The sequence below is a fragment of the Homo sapiens genome, chromosome 17 (assembly GCF_000001405.40).
Source record: "Homo sapiens chromosome 17, GRCh38.p14 Primary Assembly".
NCBI lineage: Eukaryota > Metazoa > Chordata > Mammalia > Primates > Hominidae > Homo > Homo sapiens.
This window is the reverse complement of record NC_000017.11, coordinates 40,976,199-41,000,910: the sequence shown is the minus strand read 5'-3', so window position 1 is coordinate 41,000,910 and position 24,712 is coordinate 40,976,199. Positions and strand designations below refer to the sequence as shown.

Below are 24,712 nucleotides of genomic sequence, written 5' to 3'. Positions count from 1 at the left end.
TAAGGCATACCTCAAAGGAATTTCAATCTAGTTCAAGATCCAAGGTATGAAAACAAATAAACATGCAAAGTAGGGAGTAAGTCAGTGAAAAAGTGATTTTTATGAATGCCATAGTTCTAAATTGCATTGAGTCAGATTCCCTGCCAAAATCCATGATTGTTCTGTGACTCTTGTGGTTTCTCCTTTTAATTCTTATTTCATCTTATTTTAAAGTATGTACACCATTCATGTGAAAATGAATCAAGGCTGAGGTGGTTTTCTTTTAGTGGTATATTCAACAAAGAATGGCCACTGTGTGGATCCTTCCTTCCAATGAATTTATACTTTGATTCACCACAAGATTGGCATAACTTTGAGAATAGAGACTATTTTAGAAAAAAAAAATCCATAGAATAATACAACATTGAGAAATTCACTACAGATTTAATAAAAATAATAAAAAGGAGTTTCTTCATCCTGTACCATTCTACCACTTTGCTTGCTCAATAGAACCTGAATTATAATATCACTAAATAATGCAAACATGTCCGAGATGCCTGTAGTCACATGAAACATTCATCTGTAAATAGCCATATTCTTGTTGACTTTATTGAGTTGAAAATGGTCCAGTTCATCATTTGAGTTACTCATTCTGAAATTAGTCATTAGAAATCACATTATCCATAGTATTTTAAATTAAGAGGGAAAAACAAGAAGAGTTTGGCCTCCAAAATTACAGCTGAATTGTCACTTGGATTGATTACCCATAAAAGTCATATAAGGTTTGGCATGCCAGAAACCTGTGAAGACAAAATGTGATGATCTTGTGACAAAAATGACAAGTCAATGAGTCAAAAATATGATTAACTTAATAAGAGCGGGAACTCTTAATGGACATGTAAATGACAAACTGATTAGAGAATCTCAGTGAAAAAGGGTGCCATAAACAAAACAGGAAGGCTTCCAGTTGGACCAATGCCCACTTGGGAGGGTATATAAGAGCCCTAACAAAAGAGGAGACATTTGTACCTCAGAATCCTCATCTAAGAAACTGAAAGCTAACCAGACGCCCATTGCCATGGATTGCTGTGCCTCTCGCAGCTGCAGTGTCCCCACTGGGCCTGCCACCACCATCTGCTCCTCCGACAAATCCTGCCGCTGTGGAGTCTGCCTGCCCAGCACCTGCCCACACACAGTTTGGTTACTGGAGCCCATCTGCTGTGACAACTGTCCCCCACCCTGCCACATTCCTCAGCCCTGCGTGCCCACCTGCTTCCTGCTCAACTCCTGCCAGCCAACTCCGGGCCTGGAGACCCTCAACCTCACCACCTTCACTCAGCCCTGCTGTGAGCCCTGCCTCCCAAGAGGCTGCTGATGGATGGCTACTTTGCTCAGTGCCCGACAACGAAGAATCCAGAAGCTGTCCCTTCAGTATTCACTTGCCTCAGTAGTTTGCCAGATGTTAAGGTAGACCAGATGACCCAGATATGAAGAACTTACCTTTGGTTTTAATGGGGGAAAAAAAGAAAAGTATTTTTTATGGTTATTTAGCTGAAAAACCATTTGGTTCCTGTGGGCAGGTGAATGAGTTTTATTAGCAAAATACTGTTTCAATCTTTAAGACCTCAGATTACATGTTCTTGATCATATTGCTTCCTGGCTCTTGTTTCTTGTACTGGGTATTTTCATAGAAGAAAATTTCTTGGTGGGTTTTCCAATAAACTATATTTCTCTGGCAAGATGTGTCATTTGTTTATGTTAGTTTTGGGTATATTTCTTCCATTTTAAAAAGGTAAAAACAGGATGATTATTTTAATCTTTTAAAGAAGACTCTATTGGCAGAATGACTAACATTCTTGCTACTACTAACATGGCTTGCTAACTTTTAACAGGTTCTCTTTCATGTTTGCCTTCTCTTCTCTCTTCTTCCTCAGACAAGTGCAATTTTGGTGTGAACCAACATTTATTTATCTACTCTTCACCAGTAAATTATTGATTTAGTCCTTAAAACAGCACTAATGGATAAGAAAAAATGAAGTTTTAAGCGTTATTCAACATTCTGAAAGTCATAAAGTTAATTACTTAGAAAATCAGAATTCAGCCTCTTGTATGTCTGACTCTAAAGCCCAATTTTTCCTACCACATCATAGAACCTTCAATACTAATGAAACCAGAAGCTTAATGAGCACAGTTATGAAATAAACCCAAAATATGCAAGAGAAATAAAACATGTAAGATTCTTTAACAAAATCCACATCGGATTATAATAGAAAAAGAGTACATTGGTTCATAGATTAAAATTGGCAAGTATTCAATTCTAAAATCTGGGCATTTTGAAGGTGTACCTATTTCAACTTCATTTTCTCTTAGAGAGAACTCAAAGTGGTCAACTCTAGTAACAAGGCACCAGGGACATACCTTTATTTGCCACCATACTCAGCACAGATGTTCTACCACAGTAATCAATAGAATGCCAATACTTTTCAGGTGTCTCAGGTTGAGAGCTAAAACTCTGATTACGTATGCTTTAATTCGTTACTTAATTTTATCAACCTACTTAATTTTATCTCATGAAGATTTTTCTTTTCCAAGCCTAGAGAGAACAAGTATATATTATATATATAATACATCCAATACATTTATGTAACACATATAAATATATGTGTGTATGTATATCTATACACAATACATATATAAAGACACAAGTCAAAATCTGAAAATGCATTGAAATAAAACCACAAGAAGACATGCAAGAAACAGAGTAGGACAAGGAAGGGGAGAAGCAAATGCTTTTTAACAAACTTGTTTTAAAATGTCCTCAATGTACCTGTTAGTGTCTTGAGAGAGAAATTTCTCACGGGATTCCATAGGCTTTTTACAGCTCAACCTTAAATGAACAGAACTTAGCAGCCATGGAGTCTATGGGACACTACAGAGGATATTGTCAACAAGAGATCTAGTCCATTCACTCATTCATTTGTCCATATTTCCTGAGTGTTTGCCCTATGTCAGGCATCATATTGATGCCAGGAGTAAAAAGATAAAAGAAATGCTATTACCTCAAGTCTCAAGTGCCCTCAAGTCTCTCCCAAATCTAGTGAAGAAGAAAGACAAGTTATCATAATAATAATTGCAATGCTGAGGGATTCTGCTGTGACTGGGAGGTGAGCAGCATGGCATGCAAGCATACAGAAAGAATAACTAAAACCCTGATTTGGTGATTCAGTGTCAAAGGTGAGAAATAGCTACGGAAAGCCTCTGAGCTATCCAGTCTAAGCTTTAAAAGATGAATAGGCAGCAGGAGAGGTAGGGAACAGTTGTTCCAGACAGAATAGCAGCTTAATAAATCATGGAGGCAGCGGAAAGGTTGGTGTCTTTAAGCCACAGGAGGTAGTTGGGAATGACTGGATGAACAATGCATTGAAGAGGGTGAGGCAGAGAAGACAGAAATGCAAAGACCCAGACATAAGGGGCTCCTCAAAGCAAAGGGGTTTGGACTGAAACTTTGAAGCAATGAAATATTTCAAGCAAGAGACCAATATAATCATGTTTTGCTTCTGTCTCTTTTCATTATTAATCTTTGATTTACATCTGCACTGTCCCAGATCCCTCCATTGACTATAGAAAGATATAATTAAAACTGGACTTCTTGGATGTGTGAGTGTGCGTGTGCGTATGTGTGTGTGTGTCTAGATTTTTAGCACCCCGAAAATCTACCATCTCATCAAGAATCACCATGTTTTTCCTACATTCACTTAAAGAAAAAAGATACGCGTTGTTTTTAAAAATAAAATGCTTAGTATCTCTGACACATAGTTTAAACTTCCATTTCTAACCACATAAAAGGTAGCTCAATCCCAATAGGTCCTATATTTAGTTTTTAACACACTGGCTCCCGAACCATCTAAGGCAAATCATCTCACCTCTCTATGAATCACTGTCATCATTTATAAACAAAGGAGAGTAATTCTCAGGTCTCTTAGACCACTGCAGAGAAAATACATTTTAATAAAGTGCTGCAAGTCTTGTCAATAAAAGAGAAGAGCTTATTATAATAAACTTGTTGCATTACAACTGTTTGTAATCTGTAACCTTGTCTTATTTATGATTAGAGAAACACAATGTGCTGCATAAACAGTAATAGTTGCTCTAAGCTTTTATGGTGAACTCAAAGTAATATTGTATCCCAGGTAAGAAGCTGATAGCTTTCTGCCATGAAATTCTAATCCTGAGGGTCTGCAAGCCATGTTTCCTTTGTAATGTTTCCCTCAAAATAATTTTTTCTTTTATTTTTTGTCTTTTACTCTTTTTCTTTCCTATTATAATGTATAATAGCAGCAGCTTATAATAATATGTTATGTGTATGAAAAATTCTTCCACCAAACTGTAAACTTCATGAGGGCAAGGATGGTGCCTATCTTGTTTATTGCTATAAATCCAACATTTATCACAGTGACTAGCACATAGTAACTGCTCAGTAAATGTCTGTTGAATTACTTTTTAAATAATAAGTGAAATACTAATCAGTTCTAAGTAAAAGGGTGCACACTTCGGCAGGCATTCATACAAAGATAAATCTGGGGAAAGTCCAGGAACCAGAAGATATCATGAATTCTCCCTTTCAATCAGAGCCATAGGGAGCTTTTCAAATTTTTAGGTTTGTTAATTTATATGCCAACCACTTTCTCTAATCGTAGATGTGATTATTTATTTATTTATTTATTTGTATAAACTAATATAAATGTTTGCTCTTTCCTGTAAGGTTGCTCTCTTACTTACCTTCATCTCATTTTCTTTTCTTCTTTTGACTATGTTTCTTTTATCTTTACCTTGCCTTGAATTTCATCTGTAATTTGTTTCAATCATGATAATAATTTATTTTTGCATAGCATTATATGGTTGTCCATGAGCTTTCACCCTTTTTATCACATGTGAACCTCACAATAATCTTCTAAGTGGAGGAATATGCATGCTATTACCCTGATTTCGCAGAGAAAAAGGATGAAGCTCCTAAAAGTGAATTACTTACCATAACGAGGAAGATAACCAGCAGCACCGGGAACAGTCAAGAGCTATTCTGACTCCTCAGGTGGTCCTCTTGACTACACGTCCCCATTCCCAAAACATACAAACATGCACACCACAATGCACCACTCAACAGGTGTGCCTAAAAGAGGAGGTATGAAGAATGTGAGAAGAACCATGGCTTGCAAGAAGCATGAGACCAAGCTGAGCGGAAATGGTTCGAGGTGTATAAATGATATTGGCCACAAGCCCACCTTGTGCTCCCTCTTAAACACTGAACTATGCCTGCAGTCTAAATAGCGTACTGGTACTAGAACCAGGTCTTTCCTACCACAGCTACATTTGATTTCAGGAAAAAATGCAATACCTTGCAAAAAAAAAAAGAAAAAAAAGAGAGAGAGAGAATGAAATCAAATGTCAACAGATTAATCTAGCTCAGGCTCATAAGTTTCCTTTGGTAATAATTTTACTTGAATTTTAGTTTTGTATTCTTAAGTTATTATTTTATTTAGTCTATATAGACAGAAGCTAAAAATTCAATTTGCCCACAATTAGCAGTGAAGGAAACAAAGCAAGCCAACTCTCAATAGAAGACAGATGGCCAATATGCATATGAAGGAATATTTCAACCTAGCTGGTTATAAAAGAAATACAGACACAACAATCATAAAATTGTGTTTTTCACCAATGAAATTGGAAAACACCTTTAAAATAAAGTATCTGTCAAAGGTATACGAAATGGGAATTCTTAATCAAACACATCTGGTGGAAATAGATAATTTGAAAAAAAAAGTAGGTAAATAGAACCATTCTGAAAAACAGTATGGCAATGATATGAAAGGCCTTAAAAATACTGGAAATTAACATTTGCCCCTATAATTCTACCAAATAATTAATTCTGTTTCTGAAATAATCAAAAATATGCACAAAGATTTACATACAGAGGTGCTCTGTTGCCAAAATTATTGTAGAGAAAAGTGGAAAATAACCTCAATGCATAATAATATAAAATTTTAAAGTAACATAGAAGTGCAATTATATAATAAATGCTAAGAAATATTAAAAGTAACACTATCAAATATCCTTTAAAATATAAGATAATTATATATATATATAATATATATGCACACACACAAAGGCAAGTTTCAGAACCTATGCACAATATGATTCCAGTAATGTAATGTAATGATAAACAATGTATACAAAATATTTTGTAGTAAAAAACTAGAATAATAAGCGTTTTTTAAAGTTTTTCCATATTTCTTAATGGCATATTTCTTCATGTTAATGTAATTTTGATCTTCAAAAGCCTCAAAGCTAAAAGAAAGTAAAATTAAGTTCAACTCTTTAAAACAAGAATACTTTATCAGACAAATTGGTATAGATAAAGTGACAGATTAAAAATAAAGCAGCACTGGAGAGCAGGCCCACATATTACAGACTCACTGTCATGCAATATTCCCCAGCAGGGCTGGTGTTGAAAATATAATAACAGAAGGCTTTGGTGATACCTCATAAAGCTTGTGTTCCAGTGACAAATAGCAAGGGTAATCAGTTCAGATTTAGCAACGAACTCAAATAAAAGTTAATTAGGAAAATGGGGACTCTTTACAGAGTCTAAATGTCAAACAAATTAAAGAATAATGGGTACACTAACATAAACAAGAACCAGGAAAGAAGCCTCTTGGCTGGACCAACTCCCAGTGGAGAGGGTACATAAGAGCCCCAGAGAAAGGAGAGATATTCACACCTCAGAAGCCTTATCCTTCTTTTCAATCAAACCCATAAATACCACAGACTCTAATAGCCATGGATTGCTGTGCCTCTCGAGGCTGCAGTGTCCCCACCGGGCCTGCCACCACCATCTGCTCCTCTGACAAATCCTGCCGCTGTGGAGTCTGCCTGCCCAGCACCTGCCCACACACAGTTTGGTTACTGGAGCCCACCTGCTGTGACAACTGTCCCCCACCCTGCCACATTCCTCAGCCCTGCGTGCCCACCTGCTTCCTGCTCAACTCCTGCCAGCCAACTCCAGGCCTGGAGACCCTCAACCTCACCACCTTCACTCAGCCCTGCTGTGAGCCCTGCCTCCCAAGAGGCTGCTAATGGATGGCTACTTTGCTCAGTGCCTGAGATTGAAAAAGTCAACATAGAAGCTTTAGCATTCACCTATCTCAGTACCTACAACTAATGTACTCTGCTTTAGAAATTGGAACAAGGATGGTACTACCACAATCACCCCCTGCAAAAAAAAAGAGACCAAGAAACTTTCAATGACCATTCAGCTATAACCAACTGCAGTTTGAATCAGTGGATGCCTATAGCTTCCTGAAGCTGTTCGATTCCTTCATATTAAAGTGTCTCTTTCTGTGGGTGGTTTGGGAATTCTGTTTTCAGTCTTGGGTGGTATCTTTCTGAAAATTAAGGAAGTTCTTCATGATTATCCTAATAAATTTTACATCTCTGGCATAGCACAAGTGTCTACAATTACTTCTGTTTATTTCTGTTCATTCATTAAATGCGTTTCTTAACTCTGAACATTGGCATTTAAAGAAAAACTGGAAACATTAGTGAAACTGAAAATGGTGGCAGTATGGACAAAAATTTCTTAATTTTGCTGTTCTTGCTGTTTTAAGAAAATTAAACATCCTTGCATGTAAGATGGTCTAGTACATCGGCATATTTGAAAGTAGACTTTTCCTGACTTGTCCTCCCAAAAAATGGTTTCAGACAGGTTGAGAAATACTGAACATTACCCAAACACCAAATATGACAAAATATATAAACTAATCCAGGTGACATGATCTATTTATGAAAAAAATATAATAATGTCATTATTTATTCAACTAAGATTTATTAAATGTCTATTGTGTGTCCTGTGTTTTATTGTCTCTGCTGAAAATAAGCTAACCATCTGGCAGGTGAAGCAAATACAAACACAACATCCATTTGTTTCTTCCTACGGTTAATAATTATCGAATGCCAGTTGCTGTGTTATAATAAAAAAAGATGTGTTCTACCAGCAGTATTAGTAAAGTGCTGTGGGATCATAAAATTGAGAACAATGAAGACTGTTGTCATGGGGGTAAAGTGGGAAAGACATAGTCAAAGAGGAATTGACTGCAGCTAGTCATCAAAGGGATATGGAGGAAAAGAAAATATCAAAGAAAGACTAGACAGTGGAGTTATGTCACCAATTGAGCCTAGGAGCCGAGAAGGAGAAGAGAGTTCAAGATGGAAATACTCTGTTCTTCTTGCTCTACACAGGTCATGTTTGCAACACGAGTAGCTATATCTAAATGGGGTTTGGAAAGTTATTCTGGAGAGGAAGAAGATATACGTAGGTAAGTAAAGAAGACTGTGTAAAAGTTCTCAAGTACTTACAGAAGGCACAGTTGCAAATACGCTGGCTGAAATTCCATCAGGCATAGCAAAGAGTGGCTGCTGGGTGATTAGAAGCTGAGTGGAGATACCAGAGGTCATTCACTATTAACAGACTTTGAGGTTCCAGCCTAGCCAGGGTAGAAAAAAGGATTGAAAAAGAAATTGAAGAAACTAAGAAGCCTGTGGGAAAGTACCAAGTGGTGAAATGAGGATGAAATTGGAGTCTCAGAATGAGAGGAGTTAAAGAATAGGAAATAAAAATTTGGGAGGGAATAAAAGCAAAAATTTTCGAAATTTGGTGACATTTTATTAACCCATATATTCAAGAGTCTCAATAAACACTTAGCAGGATAATTGCAATACACACACACACACACACACCACCTACACATATCATAGTCAAACTGCTGAATACCAATTAAGAAAAAAAAACAAATCAAATAGAAGGCAGCAAAGAAAAAATGGATGTCTGACTTCTTTTTAGGTAAAATGGATGTCAGAGGAAAATCAAACCTCATTTAAAAGGTCCTAAAGGAAAAAAAATTGTGAACACTACAGTCTGCAAAAACAACCTTCAAAATTAAAGAAAAAATAAAAACACTTTTAGGTGAATAAAGCTGACTTCTTTTTTAAGTGCCTGAAGATCTACACTATAAGAAACAATAAGGAAGTCCTTTTGGTTTAAGAGTAATTTTACCTCAAAGACAAAAAACAAACAAACCAGTTCAGAAATGGACAGAGAACTTGAATAGACTTTCTTCAAAGAAGATATACAAATAGCCAATCAGCACAGGCAAAGGTACTCAGCATCACTCACTAATCATTAGCAAAGTGCAAATCAAAACTACAATGAGATACTACCTCCCACCCATTAGGATGGCTGCCATAAAATAAATAAATAAATAAATAAATAAATACAAAAAACAAAACAGCCAGGTGTGGTGGCTTATGCCTATAATCCCAGCACTTTGGGAGGCCAAGGCAGGTGGATCACTTGAGGTCAGGAATTTGAGACCAGCCCAGCCAACATGGTGAAATCCCGTCTCTACTAAAAATACAAAAATTAGCTGGGCGTGGTGGTGGGCTCCTGTAATCCCAGCTACTTGGGAGGCTGAAGCAAGAGAATCACTTGAACCCAGGAGGCAGAGGCTGCACTGGGCCAAGATGGCACCACTGCACTACAGCCTGGGTGACAGAGCAAGATTCCGTCTCAAAAAACAAAAAACAAAACAAAACCCCTTATATATATATACACACATATATATGTAAAATATATAATATATACATTATATATATATAGAGAGAGAGAGAGAGAGAAATTGGAACCCTCAAGCATTGCTGGTAGGAAGGTAAAATTGTACAGTGACTGTGAAAAACAATATAGCACTTCCTCAAAAAATTAAATGTAGAATTGCCTTATGATCTTGCGCTTCCACTTCTGGGTATATACCCAAAAGAATTGAAAGCAGGGTCGCTAAAAGACATTTGTATACTTGCGTTCATAGCAGCAATAATTGCAATAGCTAAAATATGAAAACAAACAAGTGCTCATTGATAGACGGATGGATAATCAAAATATGGTACATCCATACAATGGAATATTATTCAGCCCTAAAAGGGAAGGACTTTCTGACACATGCCACAACATGAATTAACCTTGAAGATGTTGTGCTAAGTGAAGTAAGCCAGCACAAAAAGATACTATTCACTTATATGCTTTCACTTATATGAGGTAGTTAAAAGTAGTAAAAAAATCATAGAGATGAAAAGCAGAACAATGGTTGCCAGGACACAAGGGCGGGCTTCATGGGCAGTTGTTTAAAGGGAACAGAGTTTCAGTTTTAAAAGGTGAAAAGAGTTATGGAGAAGGACGGTGGTGATGCCCACACAACATTTGAATGTACTTAATACCACTGGATTGTACACTTAAAAATAGTTAAAATAGTAAATTTTATGTTACTTGTATTTTGCCACAATAAAAAAATTTTAAGAGTAATTATACAAAATGAAGTCTCAGACCTTCAGGAAGGAAAAAAACACTGAAAATGGTAAATACATGGATAAAATATGAGACTTTCTCTTTTTCCTTTTCTCGATATTCTAAAAGACAATGATTTAAAGCAAAAGCAATGGCATTGTAGGGTTTCTATATGTAGAAGTAAGCAATTTGACAATAATAGCACAAAGAACAGAAAGGGGCAAAAAGAACCCTACTGTGGTAAGGTTCTCGTATTTTACATAAAGTGCTACAGTATTAATTCCAAGTGGAGTACAAAAATGTAAAGATGCATATCATAATCCTGAGAGAACTACCCCACCCTTTAGAAAAACCATTAAAAGATATATACTTATAAAGCTAGTATAGAAAATAAAGTAGAATGTTTGATTGGCCCAAAATAAGATGAGAAATAAAAGGGAAAGGAAGCAAAAAACACATGGAAATAAAAAACAAATAGCAAGATGGTAGATTTTAAACCAACCATATCAATAATTACATTAAATATAAAGTAAGCACTCCAATAAAAAGTCAGAGGATGTCAGATTGGATTTAAAAAGAAAACCCAGCACTATGCTGTTTTAAAGTGATTCACTTTAAATATAAAAGCACAAGAAAATTGAATTATGTAGTCTGAAAAAAAGACATACCACGCAAATAGTAATGATAAGAAAGAAGTTTGGTCACTTAAATATTAGATAATTTTAAGGTGATATTTCATAATGAAAAAGGGAAAATTCATCAGGTGGTCCTATAATCCTTAAAAATATGACCCAATAACAGAGCTTCAAAATAAATAAGGCAAAAAATCACAGAAGTCAAGAGAGAAATAGATGAATCCAAAATCACATTTGGTGATTTTAATATCCCCTGTCAGGATCTGAGAGAACAAACAGATAAGAAAATTACCAAGGAGAAAGAAGATTTGAATAATAGTATCAAACAATTTTACTCAGTTACATTTACAGAATGTTACCCCCTACAATTGCAGAATATACATTCTTTTCAAATGCATAAGGAACTCTCACCAAAATAGACTATATTCTGGGCCATTAAATTTGTCTCCATAAATTCCAAAATCTAACAAAATATGTTATCTGACCACAATGGAATTAAATGAGAAATCAATCAGATACTTAGAAAAATCACCAAATATTTGAAAATCAAACAACACAGTTCTAATAACCTATGGATCAAATAATAAATACCAATACAGCTTAAGAAATATTATGAGCTGAATGATAATGAAAACAAAAGATTTTAAAAATTTATGGGATACATACAGCATTGGATTAGTAGAAAATATACAGCAAATGATTATATTAGAAAATAAGATTTACATCTTTATCACCTTCATTTATCTCTTCATCAATCACTTAAGTTTTCATTTCAACTAAATAGAAAAAGAACAATTAAAATTCAAAGTAAGGAGAAAGAAATAAATAATAAACATAATATCAGAAATCAATGAATAGAAAACGAGGAAATTAATGAAGCTAAAATTTGATTCTTTGAAAGGATTCATAAAGTACTTCTATTTAGTTATTTTTTAGTTGGCAAATAATAATTGTGTATATGTATATTTGTGGGGTACAATGTGGTGTTTTGATTTATGTATGCATTGTGGAAAGATAAATCAAGCTAAGTAACATATCCATCACCTAAGCACCTGATCATTGTTTTATGGTGAGAACATCAAAAATCTACTCTTTCAGCAACCTTGAAATAAACAATACATTAGTATTAATCTGATGAACATCAAGCCAGATTGATGGGGGAAGCATGAGATAAAACACAAATTACCAATATCTGGAATTAAATAGTGAGAATTTATAGACACTGCAGATACTAAAATTCATGATAAGGATTATTATGAACAACTTTATTTCAGTATTTTTGCAACTTAGGTGAAGTGAACAAACTCCTTGAAAAATGCAACTTTCACACAAAATGAAATAGAACAACTGAATAGCATTGTGAGGTTTCTATAAGTAGAGGTAAGCAATTTGATGTAGAGGTCAGCAAATATACATATATTTGCGTGTGTGTGTGCATGTGTGTGTGTGTGTGTGTGTGTGTGTGTGTGTGTGTGTGTGTGTTTGAAATGGAGTCTCACTCTCACCCAAGCTGGAGTGCAATGGTGTGATCTCGGCTCACCGCAACATCTGCCTTCCAGGTTTCAGCAATTCTCATGCCTCAGCCTCCCGAAAAGCTAGGACTACAGGTGTTCGCCACTATGCCCAACTAATTTTTGTATTTTTAGTAGAGACAAGCCTTCAGCATATTAGCCAGGCTGGTCTCAACCTCCTGCCCTTAAGTGATCTGCCTGCCTGGGCCTCCCAAAGTGCTGGGATTACAGGCTTGAGCCACCGCGCCCAGACATTTTTTTTCCTAGTTAAAAACAAAACACAACTTTTTCACATGGGAGACTCCTGGAAGAGGTGGCCTCACTGGACTCCATCAAACATTTAAGGAATAAATAACACTAATCTTACAGAATTTCATGAAATAAAGAGGAAACATTTCCCAATTTAATTTATGAACAGTATTACTCCATTCTCACACTGTTATAAAGAAATATCTGAGACTGGATAATTTATAAAGGAAGGAGGTGTAATTGAGTCCCAGTTCCACATGGCTGGGGAGGCCTCAGGAAACTTACAATAATGGTGGAAGGGGAAGCAGGCACTTCTTACATGGGGGCAGGTGAGAGAGAGCGTGGGAAGGAGGAACTGTCACACACTTACAAAACCATTAGATTTCCTGAGAACGAACTCACTATCACAAGAACAGTATACGGGAAACTGCCCCCATGATCCAATCATCCAGGTCCCTCCCCTAACACGTGGGGATTTGGGGTTTATAATTTGAGATGAAGTTTGGGTGGGGACGCAGAGCTAAGTCATATTGTGAACCCAGTATGTAACTTGATACCAAAACCTAACAAGATCATTAGAAGAAAAGAAATTTACAGGAAATATTTCTCAAGAACATAGATGGGGGTGGAAATCCATTTGCTAATCCTATCAACTAACTGAATAAAACAATTTACATAAAGGATAATGTAGAGTGACCAAGTTATTCAATATGATTGATCATGTTGTAGGGTCACCCAGATCATCCCTCCACTTCCTTCTTTGCCTTGGGAAACAGATTACCTTGACCACCCTGTGGCCCAGCCAGCTGTGTGTTTCCCCTGCAGCTTGAACCCGAGCTGACCCTTGAACATTCCCAGGCACTGTTAAAAGTTATTTAGGTTGTTGCCCAAAACAGTGAAAATCAACCAAGTTGCTGCACGTGGATACTAGCTCTGGCCCTGAGCCAAATTTCTTAAGGCCTCATGTAAACTCTTATAACCTGTCGCACAAATGTTAAAAGCAACAAGACAACTGCTATAGCAGAGATGCGTGCAAAGTGCTCTGGGAGGAGCCACATCTCCACATGAGGCAGTTGAACGACGTTTCAGCTGAGTCTTGACATGTGAGTTCATCCAGGAAACGAATAGCAGAAGAGCATTTGACCAAGAAAATAGTACCTACGAAGCTTGAAGGATGGCTGGAGCTTAGGGTTTGTGAGACAGAACATCAGGAAGTGAGCCCAGAAAGGTAAATTGGCACCAGGTTAGGGAAGGTCATATTTGCCAAGGTAGAAAGTTTGCATTCCATAAGTGGAAGGCGACAAAAAGCAGGTTTGTATTTTAGGAAAATGATTCTGGCAGCCTAGGTGGATGTTGTAAGGTAAGAGCATAGTATTATGCAAAATAAACTACCGTGTTGTTGTCGGTTTTTTTTTTTATCATGGCCTTTCATGATGTCTATTTCTTTTTCTCTATTCCCAATGTTCCTTTCTTCTGGTGATGATATGCTATAGAAATTGTCACGGGTGATTAGCAACTATCTGGGGCTGGTGGCATGGGGGTAAGAAGAATTTATCAAGATAGTTGTAGGTAAAGAAAGGCAGATATATTAGAGAACGTATGAAAATACGTTGCAAGGAAGCAATGGGCAGCACAGCAGAGAAGGGGCTGTCTGCAAGGAGACAAAGGCGTGCTGGAGATTTTACAGGATGGTGCTTGTACTGTGTGCTGAAGAGGGTTTGTGTGGTACTGATAACACTAAGGTTGCAGTGAGCTAAGTTACATTTTTCTATCAGCTGAAGGTCTGGTGATAGCTGGGTGCAGGAATATTGTGCAGGAGGGCTATGTGTCCTGGACCATGAAGAAGGTGAGTCTTATACATTACCTGCTTTCTTTCTTTGTTTTTTGTTTTTTGGTTTTTTTTATTTATTTATCACATTGTGCAGGTTAGTTATATATGTATACATGTGCCATACTGGTGCGCTGCACCCACTAACTTGCTTTCCTCTGGTCCTGCCAGCCTGACTTCTTTTCCCTAAGGAGGACTCCACAGAAATGAATTCTGGGTGATTTCTATATTCTACGATGGAGACTATAGCTATAGATCATTATACAACACTACCTAATTAATCAAGACCAAAATAAATAGTCCTACCTGCAGGACAATAACCAGTAACAAATAATTTACAATTAGAAATTAGTTCCAGACAGAAGGAAATATTTCTTATTTTACCTGCACTTACATGACTGCATTTTAGCTAACTGGAGCCTGTGATGGACAACCAAAACATGGGTTTTCTTCACAGATATTTTTCTTTTGACTCATTAGGTTACTGTGAAAAGATAATTTTCTTTCAGAGATTTGTAATTTTTCAGAAGTGTTTTTGAATCCTTGAACTCATATTTGTTGCAGAGCAGCGTCAATATACCATGAGACACTCTAAGAACTTTTTGCATAAGTGTTGATGTGTAAAGAGAATCACTAAATTCAAACCCAGCTCTGCCCAGGGAGTAATAAATCCTAAGAGACTATTTTAACTCACTTACATATGTTCTTCTGGTTTGGTTTGGTTTGGTTTCTACTATCAGGTACCTAGGAAGTAGCACTCAAGATTAGGAGAAAAAATAAGTTTATTCTGGATCAAAAATTTTTTAACTTTTTCAGATTAATCTGTTTTTTTCCTATAATGTTCTTAAAAATTCTAGAGACAATTTTCTCTATGCACCTTTGAAAATGAAATAAATGTAACGACTAAAACCAAGCAAAGTGAAATAGATTATCCTTCACAATGGAGGTGAAATCCAAGAGATAATTCAAAAAAATTACGTATCTCAAGTTCCTGTCTGTCAGATTTGGCACCAGAGATTTCATCCAGTGGAATTACTGATTTGGAACCTAAATAGAATTTTATTTTCCAAGTTCCAGTATTTTCAATTTTCATGAAATTCAGGCCTTCATAAATAAATAAATAGGAGAAAACAGGCTCTACATCTCAGAAGAAAAGATTCCTGTGGGTTCCTTGCCCCTACTCTGAAGTATAATCATTAAGGAATTCCCAAGGGACTAAAAGGTTATAACTTAGAATTTATATTTCACTCTTATTAGGAATACAGGTAAAATAGTATAACTTATCTAACAATAAGCAATGAGAAATGTGGAGAAGGCAAGTTTCAGGAAATCAAAGATCATAATTCCAGCTCTAACCAATTTATATTTTAGCCTGCAGAAAAACAAGTTATTCCTATCAGTTATGTAAAGTGACTTTTCCATTTGTACGCAGGTAGACATGGTTTGCACACACACACACACTTTAAACCCAATATATAGCTCACTCCTCCAGTCTTTATCAGCACATGCTCTGAGATCACAAAAAGCATTGAAAGATTACTAATCACACTGACCATTTTTATGGTGGTGGCACAAACAAATAATTGTCATTTTGTGAGCTGTAATACTAATTTTAAAAGGGGACACAAGCAATCAATCCACAGAATCAAAATCTGTGGACATATTATTTTCCTGATTTGTAATGAGTTGTATCTATAATTATTCATTGGCCAAATTTTCTCTTTCTTTTATTATTCTGTCAAAAGCACAATGCTTCCTATGACGATTTTCTGAAATAAGTGTTTTGTCTTGCACATGGAAATGGTGTGGGTCCTGCTTTGGTAACCTAAAGTTATCCCTATTTTATGAGGCATAAAACTCTTCCTCAGTAAATAAACAACTCTAATGAGATGTTTGTACGAAAACTGGCACCATCAGTGATAAAGAAAACATCCGGTGCAGTCTGTAAACACCCATTTTGGGGGGTTATAAAACTCTCAGGAGAGGAGAGTTTTGGAGTCAAGGCAACTGAAGTTTTGCAGCCAGTCTCTGTCTTTGCTTCTGGAAGGATGACTTCTGACTGCTCCTCCACACACTGCTCTCCTGAGTCCTGTGGCACGGCTTCCGGTTGTGCACCTGCCTCAAGCTGCTCCGTGGAAACAGCTTGTCTCCCCGGTACCTGTGCTACATCCCGATGTCAGACTCCAAGCTTCCTATCCAGGTCTCGCGGGCTGACTGGTTGCCTCCTGCCATGCTACTTTACTGGGAGTTGTAATAGTCCCTGCTTGGTGGGGAACTGTGCCTGGTGTGAGGATGGGGTGTTCACTAGCAATGAGAAGGAGACGATGCAGTTCCTGAATGACAGACTCGCCAGCTATCTGGAGAAGGTGCGCAGCCTGGAGGAGACCAACGCAGAGCTGGAATCCAGGATCCAAGAACAATGTGAACAGGATATCCCAATGGTGTGCCCGGATTATCAGCGTTACTTCAACACCATTGAAGATCTCCAACAAAAGGTCTGTGTCCTGTTGCCCTAGTGCTCCACCTTCCTGATCTATGGTTTGCTTTATCTTTCTACTAGAAGGGGCTGTTTTACAGAAGGAAACCAAGGGAAAGGAAAATTCTAAGAGTTAGTGATACATAGGGGAGAGCACCGGACTGAAAGTCAGAAAACCTCAGCATCAGCCCCAGAGCTACCCCTGATTACTGAGTGACTATAATAAAGTAACTTGCCTGTAGACTTTTCCTTCATCATCTATAGAATGCAGAAAAACTGTATTATATCCAAAATCGCTTTTGTACGTGACACTGAACATTTACATTATCTGAACACAGATCATGAAATGCCATCTTTTTAACTACCTAGTAATCATTTTCTTCTCTCCATGAATTTCTATTATTATGGGAGAGGATATACTCATAATACAAACTACTGATGGAGAAAACATTAATGGTGTTCAACTGCCTGAGAATGTTGCAAAATGTCTTATGTTATTAAAAAACTAAACCTTTTTATTTCATTATTTTGTTTCTAAATTGGCTCTGCTTTTTTTCTTCATGAAGTGACAAGGTTAATAAAAAAAAGCAGGCTGAGGGTGATTTTATACTTTCTTATAAAGACTTTCAAAAGATAGCTAATGGCATAGCTGTTGGATAGAAGTTTACTTAGGTTTCTCTCAAAGAATCATTTATCACATAATGACTTGCTTCCCAGATCTTATGCACGAAAGCAGAGAATTCTAGACTTGCTGTACAGCTTGACAACTGCAAACTGGCCACTGATGACTTTAAGTCAAAGTAAGTTTAATTTAATTTTATTTTATTTATTTATTTTGAGATGGAGTTTCACTCTTGTCACCCAGGCTAGAGCTCAATGGTGCTATCTCAGCTCACTGCAACCTCTGCCTCCTGGGTTCAAGTGGTTCTCCTGCCTCAGCCTCCTGAGTAGCCGGGATTACAGGCAGGCGTGCACCGCCACACCTAGCTAATTTTTGTATTTTTAGTAGAGACAGGGTTTCACCATGTGGGCCAGGTTGGTCTCGAACTCCTGACCTCAGGTGATCTGCCCGCCTTGGCCTCCCAAAGTGCTGGGATTACAGGCATGAGCCACCACGCCCGGCTTTAATTTTAATTTGAAAATAACTTATGGCTCTCTCTCTCTCAATCTCTCTCTCTCACACACACACACACACACAAATATTCTCTATATAATATTTTAAAGTTAAGAATGTTTTAAAAGCTTGAATTTATCATTACTTAGGAATTAAGAGAAATTATGCACATGGCTTCCTGAAGTCCGTGTGTCGATCCTCCATGTATCCCCACACTTTGCACAGCGTTCAGCAAAGTAAGCGTTGGATTTCTCTTTTGCTGTGAAAGGTACGAGAGTGAACTGTCCCTTCGCCAGCTGTTAGAGGCTGACATCAGCAGCCTGCATGGGATCCTGGAGGAACTGACCCTGTGCAAATCTGATCTGGAGGCCCATGTGGAGTCTCTGAAGGAAGATCTCCTTTGCCTTAAGAAAAACCATGAAGAGGTAAGGAAAGTGGCAACTCCGCTGAAGGACTCCGAGAGTAACGTACTTACATTGACAGATGATCTGTTGATGTTTGTAAATCGAATTTGGGCAGATGTTGTTTAAGCTGGAATAAAACTACTTGAGGCAGGGCCAGGCATGGTGGCTCACACCTGTAATCCAAGCACTTTGGGAGGCTGAGGCAGGAGGATCACAAGGTCAGGAGTTCGAGACCAGCCTGACCAATATGATGAAACCTCATCTCTACTAAAAATACAAAAATTAGCTGGGCATGGTGGCAGGCGCCTGTAGTCCTAGCTACTCGGGAGGCTGAGGCAGGAGAATCACTTGAACTCAGGAGGCGGAGGTTGCAGTGAGCCGAGATCTTACCACTGCACTCCAGCCTGGGTGACAGGGCGAGACTCCATCTCAAAAAACAAACAAACAAACAAACAAACAAAAACTACTCGAGGCATTATTACTATTCAACCTGATCATTCCAGTGTGTCTCTGATTTAAGGTGTGAAATAACCCCTAGACAGCGCCAGAGGAAGGAATCAAACTCTTCTCCTGCCCTTGCCTTTGTGGAGGAGGTAACTTCACAAATGGCTTCCTTTGGAGGCTTTATGCCACCCCTAGCTCCAGTCCACAGGGTATGAAAATCAGGCTGAGGAACAGACTGTGAAGTCCATTTCAAAAAAGGGATAAAGACTGTGCACTATCTGGACCAGTGTTTTTAAATATTCCGCATTTATAAACTTCTAAAAATCATAAAATATACAGCCACTGATATATTGATAAAGCTAGAAAATGAAAAGCTGAATGATGTAACAAAGTACATTTGCTCTTTGAACGTTTGTTGATGACAATCATAGCTAACATTTATTGACACCTTACTATGTGTCATAATTAACTTTTATAAGTTAATTATGTGTAGATTGACTCTTCTAGATCTCACAATAACTTTCTGGAAAAATGTCCAATTATTATGTCCATTTTACAGACGAAGAAACTGAGGCCCTTCTAAGTGGTGAAAAGAGATTCAGCCCAGGCAATCTGAATCAAAATCTCACACTTTTACCCACTGCTCCAAAAAACAGAAGTAGAATGCCATTGGATGTCAAATGGATTTTTCCCCACCATTCTGTGACATTCTTTACACCATCCCACTTTCAGGAAGTCAACTTGCTTCGTGAACAGCTTGGCGACCGCCTCAGTGTGGAGCTGGACACTGCCCCCACCCTTGACCTCAACAGGGTCCTGGATGAGATGCGCTGTCAGTGTGAAACGGTGCTTGCCAACAATCGCAGAGAAGCTGAAGAATGGTTGGCTGTTCAGGTCAGTACCCAGATTGAAAAAATGTCAGGCTTACAGACTTCTGCCTTTTTTGAATTCTCTAATGGTGTCTGTGTTTCAGACAGAAGAGCTGAATCAGCAGCAACTGTCCAGCGCGGAGCAGCTGCAGGGCTGCCAGATGGAGATCTTGGAACTGAAACGCACAGCCAGTGCTCTGGAAATTGAGCTCCAAGCACAGCAAAGCCTGGTGCGTGAGGCAAAGGCAGTGTCCGTTGTGTCACTGATAAGTCAGGCCCTGAGATGTTAAGCCCTCTTCCATATCCGAGGATCACATTTCCTTGCCTTTCCCGAGTACTGCCGTTTACCCAGCTATTAATAGAAGCAGAAGTGACAGGTCCACAGCTTGTCCTCTAAGATGCCTTACCTTCACTCCTGGGCTTGAGTCTGATGCTGCAGCAGCCTCCAGAGACAGGGAGGGAGAAGCAGAGCTGGAGAGAAACCTCCGGGCCATGGTCGCTTAAGCATTCTGGCAGGTTTTAATTCTCATTTGATTCAGGCCAGTTTTCCAGGCTCACTGTTATATCTAAAACAAAGAATCATTTTCAAACATTTCATCCTACAGTTTCCCAGGATCTACACTTCAACCTTATCCTTCACTGCACCACCCCCCACTCAAGCAACAGGAACACCATGCGTTCAAGATGACATGAACCAGTTCTGGTCAAGCACCACTGTGTGCATGTCATTAGGCCCTGCGGAGAACACCTAGAAGAACAATAGCTGAGCATTCATCCTGTGAGAGGCACTATGCTGATTTAAGGCTCACAGTAACTTTACCGGATAGATACCTTTATCCCATGACACAGATAAGGAAAACTGAGACTCAGATTAAGTAACTTGCAAAGGATGCAATTCTAAGAGGCAAACTTGGAAGCTGAGTTCAGCCAGTTGAATCCCAGAGTCTCTTCTCTCTCTCTTTTTAAATTTATTTTTATTGATATATAATATGCGTAAATTTTTTTTACGTAGATGTGATATTTTGTTACATGCATAGAATGTGTAATGATCAAGTCAGGATATTTAGAGCATCCATCACCTCAAGTATTTATCATTTCTATGTGTTGGGAGCATTTCAAGTCCTCCCATCTAGCTATTTTGAAATGCACAGTGTATTGTTGTTAACTGTAGTCACACTTCTCTGCTGTCCAACATGAAAACATATTCTTTCTGTCTAACTGTATGTTTGCACCCATTAACCAACCTCTCTTCATCCCCTTACCACACATATGCCAGTCCCAGCCTCTGGTATCCAGAGCCTCTTCTCTTAATAGCACTATACTACCCCTCCCTGCCAAGAGCCCAAACTCAATCTTTCCTCTCATATGTTGTGGATAGTCCTTAAGCTTCACAAATATGTCATGTATTGCTGTAGTCATAGTGGTGGTAGTGATAGTTGACACGTAGAACAGTGGCAGTATGGCTGGCACTGTTCTAAATGCTTTACGCACATTAACTCTTTTTTTTTTTTTTTGGACGGAGTCTCCCTCTGTCGCCCAGGCTGGAGTGCAATGGCATGATCTTGACTTACTGCAAGCTTTGCCTCCCGGGTTCACACCATTCTCCTGAGTAGCTGGGACTACAGGCGTCCACCACCGTACCCAGCTAATTTTTTATATTTTTAGTAGAGACGGGGTTTCACCGTGTTAGCCAGGATGGTCTCGATCTTCTGACCTTGTGATCCGCCCGCCTCGGCCTCCCAAAGTGCTGGGATTACAGGCCTGAGCCACCGCGCCCAGCCCGCATATTAACTCTTAATCTTCACAACCGTCTAATGAAACAGATACTTTGTATTCTCCACTATACAGAGAATAAAACTGAGACTCACAGAAGCTAAATAATTTGCCAGTGGTCACATAGCTAGAAAAGGGTAAGCAGGAATTTGAAAGTAGGCACTCTGGCCCGAGAGACTGCACTTCATGGTCCTTTGGACAATGTTTCCTCCCGCAGACAGAATCTCTGGAATGCACCGTGGCAGAAACCGAGGCCCAGTACAGCTCCCAGCTGGCCCAAATTCAGTGTCTGATCGATAACCTGGAGAACCAGCTGGCCGAGATCCGCTGCGACCTGGAGCGACAGAACCAGGAGTACCAGGTGCTCCTGGACGTGAAGGCCCGGCTGGAGGGTGAGATCAACACGTACTGGGGCCTGCTGGACAGCGAGGACAGCAGGCAAGTTCCACAGTTACTCATGAAATCCCCCAGAGTCACAAAGAGGCTGATGTAAAAGAATCCTGTTTCCCCAAAGTCTGGACAAGTTCAGACCTCCCCAGTGTGTTTAGGGATCTTCTTAAAAAAGTGCTGAAAAGTGGCTGAGGTTAAGAACATGACACTAGAGATATTTTTAAAATATTCTAAAGGCAGATTAATTATTAGTGTAACATTTCATGCTGGCATCTCCCTTTGTTCCTGTTTTCCACTAAAGGAAAATCAGGAATAGGCCTAAGATAACATTTGCAAAATCAAGAAAAAATATAAAATACTATTCAACTGCCACTGCTACAGTGAACATGAAGTGGCAATTCTGGGTGCAGAGAAGAAACAGGCTTCAGTCAATGCTATTGTGCAGAGTTTTTTTCAGAACATAATTTGTAGGGCAAATTTTGACACGGTTTTTCTGAGTTGCCATTTTATCAACATTCCCTTGTTAATCTTGGTTGAAAATCGATTTTTCCCCAGGCTTTCCTGTAGCCCATGTTCGACCACATGCACCTCGAGCAACACTTGTGAGCCATGCTCAGCCTATGTCATCTGCACTGTTGAAAACTGCTGCTTGTGAATGTTAAGGACAGCAGGTAGAGGAATCAAAGCCAGCAGCATCCTAGAAAGGAGATGGGGCTTCAACCAGGGACATCCAAACCGGAAGCACAAATCCAGGAGGCTCTCATATCCTGGAATTGCCCTCCAGGTATCCTCAGTCTTTCTGCTTTACTATTTCCTCTCCTTCCGGCTTATTTGTGGTATACTGGAAGCCCATAAAGCATTCTTGCTCATCTCCAAATAAAACGTGTTTTATTCCTTTAGCGTGGTAAATATAGCTCTATGGCTGATTACTGTTGATAGAATATTCATTTTATGGCAAGGAAATCATCTAAACCCATAACCATAGTTTCAATGTACATAAACCCAGGCTGAAAATATTTTTTAACTCCTCAAATACAAATAAATTAATGAACCCATGAGAAATGTCATATATCTTAGAAAATAGTTGTGTGTATCTTTCTGAGGAAAAATATTAGGAATAAAATATGATAAAATGTATTTTTTGATTATAAAAGTACTAGATTCTCTTTTTTTAAATTTGGCTCATTAAAAGGGAAAAGGTCACTTATGATTTCATCTTCCAAACAGCCATAGTCAATATTTTGGGGTACTTTCTTCCAGTTTTCTTTCTTATAATAGATTTTTCCACACAGCTATAATCATACTAACATATGCACACACTTGTGTAAACTTTCTTTCATTTATGTCATCTAAGCATTTTTAATTCTAATAAAAACATAAGATTGTATTGTAGCCATCACTTTTTTTATTTTTTATTTTTTTTTTGAGACAGAGTCTTGCTGTGTCACCCAGGCTGGAGTGTAGTCACACTATCTGGGCTCACTGCAACCTCTGCCTCCTGGGTTCAAGCGATTCTCCTGCCTCAGCCTCCCAAGTAGCTGGGACTACAGGTGTCTGCCACCACACCAGGCTAATTTTTTTTTTTTTTTAGTAGAGACAGGGTTTCACCGTGTTAGCCAGGATGGTCTCAATCTCTTGACCTTGTGATCCACCAGCTTCAGCCTCCCAAAGTGCTGGGATTACAGGTGTGAGCCACTGCACCCAGCCTGTAGCCATCATTTTACTGGTTGCATAATGTACCATAAGGTACATTGATCTGTTATTGGACATTTAGGTTATAAGAATAATTATTCTCATATATTTAAAAAACAAGGTAGAGAACTTCCAGAATGATGTATATTTCCATATTCCTCCTCCTAAAAACCCTGGAAATTACATATCAAATAAACATAAGAGGACTCTGAAAGGTAGAAGAAGAAGCCAAACCACCTAAAGATGTTGAGACTCCAGGAGTGACACTGTGGTGAGCTCCCTGGATTAGCTTTTTATCTCATATATCCCAGAGGGGGAGCTGGAGAAACCAACAACCAGAAACACCAACAGGTGCAGACAAAACAAACAAACAAACAAACAGAAAGAGCTTGCTCTGCTTAAAGAACCAGAAAAGAGGCAGCCTAGAAAGGCGGAAAACCTTTAGACAATAACCACTCAACTCAGCCAAACACCACAGAAAATATCATTTCACCCACCCATATCCACACAAGGAAAGGCCAGGTGGGGAGTCCAGACTTCTATCCTTCCCAGGCTGTAATAAGGCACTCAAACTTCACCACTGGGGTGGAATCAGGGAAGGCTAAGTGAGAGATCCAGGACTTTCATTCCTACTATGAGACATGGAAGCACTCCCTGTCCCACCATCATGGTATCAGTGGAGACCACACGGGAAGCCTGGACTTAACTCTACAGGCTGCAGTGAGGCTCTTCTTTTCTCCTCTGGGGTTAGTGTCACAAGAGTCCTACTGGACAGTCAGAACTCTTTCCCTCCTCCAGCAGTACCAAGGCCACCCCCATGCAGTGTCAGTGGAAGCTGCATGGGAGCAATAACAAGATATTCCTGCCCCTCCTGGCCAGGGTGGTATCAGCAGAGGCCAGGTAAGGAGTCTAAAATCCTCCCTCCCAGCAGTGATGAGGGGGGCTCTCCCCTTGGGTGTCA

At 38.7% G+C, this 24,712-nt stretch overlaps 3 protein-coding genes and 1 long non-coding RNA gene across 9 annotated transcripts in view, besides 1 other annotated feature; 3 read left to right on the top strand and 1 right to left on the bottom strand.

Moving 5' to 3' along the window:
• The first annotated feature begins 1,004 nt into the window (after positions 1–1,004).
• KRTAP3-2 (keratin associated protein 3-2) lies at positions 1,005–1,718 on the top strand. The gene has a single exon (NM_031959.3). The coding sequence runs from the start codon at positions 1,058–1,060 to the stop codon at positions 1,352–1,354; it is 297 nt and encodes a 98-aa protein (NP_114165.1). The 5' UTR covers positions 1,005–1,057; the 3' UTR covers positions 1,355–1,718.
• A 5,028-nt stretch (positions 1,719–6,746) lies between these two features.
• KRTAP3-3 (keratin associated protein 3-3) lies at positions 6,747–7,481 on the top strand. The gene has a single exon (NM_033185.3). It carries the CDS (start codon positions 6,814–6,816, stop codon positions 7,108–7,110), a length of 297 nt encoding a protein of 98 aa, NP_149441.1. The 5' UTR covers positions 6,747–6,813; the 3' UTR covers positions 7,111–7,481.
• KRT40 (keratin 40) lies at positions 13,776–23,196 on the top strand. Of its 5 annotated transcripts, none has more exons than NM_182497.4 (9): positions 13,776–13,864; positions 14,537–14,607; positions 16,637–17,084; positions 17,783–17,865; positions 18,448–18,604; positions 19,760–19,921; positions 20,001–20,126; positions 21,887–22,107; positions 22,615–23,196. In NM_182497.4, exons 3-9 carry the CDS (start codon positions 16,638–16,640, stop codon positions 22,712–22,714), a joined length of 1,296 nt encoding a protein of 431 aa, NP_872303.2. In that variant the 5' UTR covers positions 13,776–13,864; positions 14,537–14,607; position 16,637; the 3' UTR covers positions 22,715–23,196. The 5 variants fall into 5 exon arrangements, 4 of the variants coding, with proteins under 4 accessions (NP_872303.2, NP_001372146.1, NP_001376173.1 ...); NM_001385217.1 differs by lacking the exon at positions 13,776–13,864 and adding an exon at positions 13,888–13,989; NR_163403.1 differs by lacking the exon at positions 13,776–13,864 and adding an exon at positions 13,910–13,989 and having other exon boundaries at positions 19,587–19,921.
• The window catches only part of LOC107985072 (uncharacterized), a 55,255-nt gene continuing 47,596 nt past the window's right edge, over positions 17,054–24,712 (bottom strand). Inside the window, exons 3-4 of one of the 2 annotated variants that reach the window (XR_001752886.2) lie at positions 20,304–20,462; positions 17,054–18,583 (exon numbers count right to left, since the gene is read on the bottom strand). This is a non-coding gene — a long non-coding RNA (uncharacterized LOC107985072). Of the gene's footprint in view, positions 18,584–18,931; positions 20,463–24,712 lie in introns of those variants that run through there. The other variant, XR_001752885.2, reaches the window with a different exon arrangement.
• Positions 20,304–20,905: an enhancer, noted in NCBI's record as "OCT4-NANOG-H3K4me1 hESC enhancer chr17:39136258-39136859 (GRCh37/hg19 assembly coordinates)". NCBI's record gives its function as "activates a minimal SCP1, AML or CMV promoter by ChIP-STARR-seq in naive H9 embryonic stem cells {active_cell/tissue: H9 hESC(naive)}" and the evidence as "EXISTENCE:reporter gene assay evidence [ECO:0000049][PMID:30033119]".

What these genes read in the sequence shown, in the direction of transcription:
- KRTAP3-3 (NM_033185.3), top strand. Translation starts at nt 6,814, where the DNA reads ATGGATTGCTGTGCCTCTCGAGGCTGCAGTGTCCCCACCGGGCCTGCC.
- KRTAP3-2 (NM_031959.3), top strand. Translation starts at nt 1,058, where the DNA reads ATGGATTGCTGTGCCTCTCGCAGCTGCAGTGTCCCCACTGGGCCTGCC.
- KRT40 (NM_182497.4), top strand. Translation starts at nt 16,638, where the DNA reads ATGACTTCTGACTGCTCCTCCACACACTGCTCTCCTGAGTCCTGTGGC. An exon ending in TTGAAGATCTCCAACAAAAG is followed by an intron (nt 17,085 to 17,782) that starts GTCTGTGTCCTG and finishes CTTGCTTCCCAG; the next exon opens with ATCTTATGCACGAAAGCAGA. An exon ending in TCCAAGCACAGCAAAGCCTG is followed by an intron (nt 20,127 to 21,886) that starts GTGCGTGAGGCA and finishes TTCCTCCCGCAG; the next exon opens with ACAGAATCTCTGGAATGCAC.